The sequence below is a fragment of the Homo sapiens genome, chromosome 9 (assembly GCF_000001405.40).
Source record: "Homo sapiens chromosome 9, GRCh38.p14 Primary Assembly".
Taxonomy (NCBI): Eukaryota; Metazoa; Chordata; class Mammalia; order Primates; family Hominidae; genus Homo; species Homo sapiens.
In genome coordinates this window covers 129347478-129353901 of record NC_000009.12, presented here as the reverse complement: position 1 = coordinate 129353901, position 6424 = coordinate 129347478, and the positions used below count along the sequence as shown (strand labels likewise).

Genomic DNA, 6424 nt, shown 5'->3' with positions numbered 1-6424 from the left:
CCTAGAACCTTTGGGGAGGGCCACAAAGTTCTGAAAACATCCTTCCCGCAGAGGGCAGGGCAGGCCTTGGGATTGGGGCCCACAGGCCACAGACATGAAATGCCAGTCTATGAAAAGCACGTTTGTAGGCCGGGCACATTGGCTCATGCCTGCAATCCCAGCACTCTGGGAGGCCAAGGCAGTAGGATGGCTTGAGGCCAGGAGTTTGAGACCAGCCTGGGCAACATAGTGAGACCCCTGTCTCTACAAAAAAATAAAAAAGGATGAATTTGTTGTTTGTAGCACAGGGAAATGTGTGTGTGTGTGTGTGTGTGTGTGTGTGTGTGTGTGTGTGTGTGTGATGTGCTTGCCCAGCATAGGAGGCTGGGGACAGTGAGGGAGTAGCCCTGCAGCTGTCCCCAGCCTTGGGAGAGCTCCGCAGGCCGGGCTTGTTCCCTGCATGGGAGGCAGCCAAAGGATCTGGATTTGAGAGCAGGACTGCAGCAGGATTAGAGCTGGGAGCTTCAAACAGAACCGGCCTGGCAGCAGGCCTGGAGCCCGGGCTTAAAGGGGCTGCTGAAATTATAAATAGCCACCTTCCCTGTGACTCCCCAGTCCCTCCTGGAGAGGGCCCTCCCACCAGCCCCTTCATCAGCCTCCACTCCAGCCCCCAGCCCGCTTGGGAGGGAGGGAGGGACAGGGCTGGGAGAGGTGCTGGTTAGAAGGCTGAGCAGACCTGCGTGTTGGTTACAAACAACTGGCTTTGAGTTGCAGGAAGCATCTAGAGACCCTTCCAGCTGCTGACCCTGCAGACGCTGCCTGAGGCCTCCTCCTTCACTAACAAACAACCGCCCCACCCCAGCTCATGTGTCAGGCCTAGGGATGGCTTAAGAGGAGGGGCCGGCACGGGTCTAGCCAAGCAACCCTGCATCCATCTGGCCTCTCCCGGACTCAGTTCCCCACCCCAGGAGGGGAGAGGGACCGGGAGGAGCGATCAAAAGGGCATTTCGGGTTCTCCCACCTGAAGCCAGGACCTGTGCAGGTCGGGCACTGAGCTAGGTGCTGCCAAGGATGGGGACAGCGCAGGCCCCGCTCACAAAAAAAAAACGGCCTGGGCCAGCAGATGCAGCCGAGCTTGTGAAATGGCTGGTGCCCCTCCCCGCTCCATCCCTTCTGTGCCCACCGGCCACTTCCCCTCTCAGCAGCTCCCGTTTCCCATCCGTGAGGTGGAGGGGTGGACAGGGACTACCAGGCCACCAGGAAGGACTGTCAGCCCCGCAGGCAGGTGCTGCCACAGCCCCACTGCGCAGAGGGGACCCCGAGGCTCGGCGCTGTGCAGGGGCTTCCGGGCTTGGGGGCCACACGGCCAGGAAGAGGCCGAGCAGGGATTAGAACTCAGCTCTTTCCACACCCTGAGCGCTCAACCCCAGCCGCTCTGGGGGCCTGTGATTGATGGATTGACCCGCCGATTGATTAACTGATTGGCTGATTACCTGCCCGCCCCTCCTCCGGGCCGGCCTCCCAGGGAGCCCCCTCCCGCCCCCACGGCCCGGTCCACGTGCTTCGGAAGCCTCACCCAGGCGCCCCCAACCCGCGGCCAGGGCGAGGGGGCGGGGCAGGGGCGGGGCTCAACCCAATTCCCGCCCCGCCCCGCCGACCGGCTGTTGCCAGGGAAACGACCCCTCCCCCCATCCCCCGGGAGCCTACGGGGGCTCTTGCCGCCCCCGGACCCTCTGGCGGGAGCTGGGGTCCTCGGGTGTGAGAGACGGGGGGCGCGGGGCAAGTGGGAGGACGCAGATGGAGAGATGGGGGAGACAGCCAGAGAGACAGAAACCCACGGCGGGGGAGACTCAAAAATCGCCCCCGTCCCGCCACAAAGAGAGACAGAGACAGAGACGCACTAGGGGGAGAGACACAGGCGGGAGAGAGGAAGGAGAGGACCTGGGGGAGACAGAGACCGCCCGAGGGGGAAGGGACTGCAGAAGGAAGGCGGGGAGGGGAAGAGGGGCCAGAGTGGGAGCCGGAGAGGAGGGACCTGCGCCCCGAGGGCCCCAGAGAGAAAAGACCAGGGCCAGCAAGGGGGAGCCGGGAGGGGCGAACTTGTAAAAATAAATATTTATAAATTGAGAGTTTCCCAATTCTTTTTGCATTTCCGTAGTAAATTATGTATCTCCTATCTGCTTAGGGAGCCACCAAGGCGGGGGCGGGGGGGTTCTTTTCTGTGCTCCCCTCATCTTCCTCCCCATCCTCCTCCCCTAGCCCTTTCCTCACCCCCTCCACCCCACGCCCTCCCTAGCCTCCTCTTCCCCTCTCATCTCCCTCCCTAATCCTCTCCTCCTGCCCCTTCTCCCCTCCTACCCTCTTCTCCCCTTACCCCAGCCCCCTCTTCCCTTCCTCTTCCGCCCTCTTCTGCCCCCTCTTCCCCCTTCCTTTTCCTCCCCCTTCTCCATCCTCCTAATTCATCCTCTCCCATCCCCCTCCCCCCCTTTCCTCCTCCTGCTTCCCCTCTCCTCCCCCTCCCCAGGTTGGAGCTGGGCACAAGGCAGACAGGAGGGGCCGCCCTCACCCGGAGGTGCCCCCCACCCAGAGGTGACCGGCTCCCCACTCCCAGTACCTTCCCTGCCTTAAATAAGAATAATCACACGAGTCAGCGACTCTAGGATTTAAAAAACGCTGTTGTCGCTGGCAGTTTGGCACCCCCAACCGGGACCACGGAAATCTTCCTCCAGAGGACAGGGGATGCTGGGGTTGCGGGGAAGGCGGGGCTGAAGAGGGGCAGGAGAGGACTGCAGTCCTAGGAAGCCCTGGCCTGGAGGCTGAGGCCACCTCGGCTTCCTAGGGGGCCTGGACTAGCCCCTCAGCTGGCTGAGTCTCGGTTTCCCCCTCTGTGGGATGGGGCCGGGATTGGTTCCCTGCTCTCTAGGGCCAAACTTGCTCTGTTTGGGCATCTTTGCCAGAGTTTGGGAGGTTTCCAGGCCCCTCTGACAGTCCCCACAGCGCCTCAGACACAAAGGAGGAGCTGAGGAAGAAATATACGTATATACATATATATATATACAAGGATGCCGCGGGGGTTCCTAAAACTGGGGCGAGGAGCGGGGGAAAGCGTGCCCCTTCCCTAGTCATAGCCTGTCAGGTCAAGGGGCCACACCCACTAGCAGTCTGTGGCCTGCCTTCAAGGAGCCTCAGTTTCCTTATCTGCAAACTGGGCCCGGTGAGGCCTCCCTCGCCTTGACCAAGGACCAGGATCCTGGCCCCTGCAAACTGCCACGCCCTGTACATAGGATCGCTTGAGCCCAGGAGGTCGAGGCTACAGAGTGAGCTGAGATTGTGCCACTGCACACCAGCCTGGGTGACAGAGGGAGGCCCTGTCTCAAAAAAAAAAAAAGAAAAAAGAATGGCAAGCACCACTGATCAGGTACTGACTGGCACCAGGGGCAGTGCATGGGGCCTGACAGCTCCTCCTATCCTCCCCACACCGGGCTCCGAACCAGGGCCCTACGGTTGCCCCATACAGCAGAGGCTCAGAAGGAGGGCTTGTCCCAGGTCAAGTGGCCAGACACACTGAGCAGGGCTCTGGCCAGCTCTGCCCTGTGCCACACGGAGGGGCGTCTTCATGTCTTATGGGAAGGGGGAAAGGTGGGCCGCCTGGCTTAGCAACCTCAGGCCCTGCAGGACCCTCAGAAGCACCCGAGACGAGACGCGTCTTTCTTCTAAGCCAGAGCAGTGAGGAATGCATTGGAAAACGACTCCCCTTACCGCCCCCCCTCCCCGTTTATCTGCCGCCAGCACCTCTTGGGGCCAGGGGTTTTTCCAACTGTTCCATAGACCCTAGGGGGCATCTGGTGGGGAATGGAGAGGTCCAGGTGAGGTCTCACAGCCCCTACCCCTGCATCCTTCTGTATTGATCACTTGGGTCAGATTCATTTCAAGAAGAAAGAAGAACAAGATTGCAATGGGAAGGCGGGTGTGAAATATAGCTTGGACCCCACTGCTGTCAAGACTTAGGAGCCACTGGGATGAGAACTGTGGCTTCCTGAAGTCCCCCAACTTCTGTAACTCAGCTCTTCCCAGGCCACCACCGCCAGGGCAAGCAGACAGAGCAAAGCAGCGCTGCCAGGTGAGGAGGCCTGGGCATCGAGTTCTGTCTTTCATCCAAGCCCACCACGTGGGCACTACTGTGCCTCTAGGGTGGATGAGGAAACGGGGGCTCAGAGACCTTAAGTGACTTGCCCAAGGTCACACAGCCAGTCAGCATAAGACTCAACTAGGACACTCTCCAGTCCGTGTGATTCCAAAACCCAAGCTTCTGCACCACCCACCCTCCCCTGAAGAAGCCACAGGGTCACCCTGACAGTGTCACAGGCTCTTGCCCCCTTCCTGCTCTTGTTTCATGTCAAGCCGCCCCCAGGGTTTCTTCGGGCACCAGGAAGACTCACAAATGCTCAGGAACAGGTCTGAGGAACGACTAAGGGAGGCCACCGTGGTGCCACGCAGGGCAAAGCTGCCCCTGCCATGGAAACTGCCACACCCTCCACCACTCACCCCTGCCACCCCTCACTGGGAATAACAGCAACATCTGCCACTCCCCGGTGGATGATGTCCCAATTTGCCAGAGCCCTGTGCCTCCAAGAGGCCCCAGAGCAAGGTTGTGTGGGTTCCAGGTGCCCGTTGTCCTTACAGAAATGTCTACGCCTGCGTCCAGTTGGGTCCTAGAGCCGCCACCACCACACTGCCACCTGGGGTCATGCCTCCTCCCTAAGAAGCAAGGCCAGGCTCTTTCTTCCCTGCAGGCGAAGGTCCTCCCAGGAAGCCCCTGACATCCCAGGGGTCAACCAACCATCTATGTCACCAGAGAGGCACAGGCAAATGGGACCACCCAGGCCCAAGCTGGGGCCCTCTCTGCGCTTAGAAAAAGTCGATTGTTGCTGATGGTGGGTGGGGGTTAGAGATAGAACCACAAAGCAGACAGAGGCCAACTTGGCTTTGTGTGAACTCAATACACAAACTGGAGTGTCTGGAAGGTAGGGGAGTGGAACCTTGGGGAGTGAATGGAACTTTCTTTGAGAGTGGGGGAATCATTAGCACCTGCTTAGTGGGCACCAAGCCTTGCTCCCTGGAGCTGGAGCGGTGGCTTCCAACCTGGCAGTGCGGGAGGGGTGCTGGGAGGCTGTTTGTTTACGCTGTGGGAGGGGAGGGGATGGAGATTTTCAGGCCCTCAGATCCACTCCAGTGACTTACACACCCCACCTTCAGCAAGAAACAGAGAGGTTTTCATTGTCATTAGAGGGGATGGGGCGAAATGTGTACACTCTGCAGAAGGACGTCCACCTAGACATTAACCAGAGTCATCTCCAGGTGAAGCGTGTTGATGACTTTTACCTTCTTTCTTGTAGTTTCCAGTGTTGCTTCAACTCATCAGTTTATGGTACAATAAGGGTGTATTTTTTCAGAAACAACAGTGACATTGCCCAACCAAGAAATAATTTTTTTTTCTCGAGCCGGAGTCTCACTCTGTTGCCCAGGCTGGAGCACAGTGGTGTGATCTCAGCTCACTGCAACCTCCGCCTCCCGGGTTCAAGCAATTCTCTGTCTCAGCCTCCCGAGTAGCTGGGATTACAGGTGCCCGCCACCACGCCAGGCTAATTTTTGTATTTTTAGTAGAGACAGGGTTTCACCATCTTGGCCAGGCTGGTCTTGAACTCCTGACCTCATGATCCACCCTCCTCAGCCTCCCAAAGTGTTGGGATTACAGGCGTAAGCCACCGTGCCCAGCCAAAAATTGTAAAATCAAGACAAAAAGTGTATAAATACCAAGATGCTCTTGCAGAAAGATGAGGCAGATCTTTCTCTGCACGAAAGAAAAACGTGCAGACGGGTGATTGCACAACCAGAGCAGCCAAGAGCTAGACCCAATGGAGTCTCCAGCAGCAGCAATGAGTTTCAGAAACTTGTGGAGAGCAAGCTCTGGGGGAACACAAGTGCCTCTGGGAGACGCCAGTCAAGAAGGGATCCCTGAGGATCACAGCAGGGGGCTGGGATCTCGGAACCCAAGAGGACCCAGGCCTGGCTGGGAAGTGGGGGTCACATGCTGTTTGCTGGGCAGCCGGGGGCCAATGACTCACCCTCCCAAGAGCACGGTGCTGTCTCTATACTGGGGATGGCACAGCTACCAGTGTTAGTACTGGGATCATAGAGTTCAGATGGGCAGGGCAGCTTCTCCCCAGTGTCCCATCTGAAAATCCCCTGGGATGGAGAACTCGCCCCGGTCCCTGGGACTCCAGCTCGGGTTCCATCAACAGTTCTTCTTAAAAGCTCGTGGCCGGGAGGCAGCACTTGTCTCCTGGAAAGCCATCAGGTTGCTAAATGCACCCACCCTTTGACCAAGCGATTCCACTTTTAGGAAGTTATACCACGGACGCATTCACACGGCAACAAGGGGAAA

General features: G+C 58.5%; 2 annotated features.

The window, feature by feature from the left end:
* Nucleotides 1-800: an enhancer, noted in NCBI's record as "H3K4me1 hESC enhancer chr9:132115381-132116180 (GRCh37/hg19 assembly coordinates)". NCBI's record gives its function as "activates a minimal SCP1, AML or CMV promoter by ChIP-STARR-seq in primed H9 embryonic stem cells {active_cell/tissue: H9 hESC(primed)}" and the evidence as "EXISTENCE:reporter gene assay evidence [ECO:0000049][PMID:30033119]".
* Nucleotides 801-1602: an enhancer, noted in NCBI's record as "H3K4me1 hESC enhancer chr9:132114579-132115380 (GRCh37/hg19 assembly coordinates)". NCBI's record gives its function as "activates a minimal SCP1, AML or CMV promoter by ChIP-STARR-seq in naive H9 embryonic stem cells {active_cell/tissue: H9 hESC(naive)}" and the evidence as "EXISTENCE:reporter gene assay evidence [ECO:0000049][PMID:30033119]".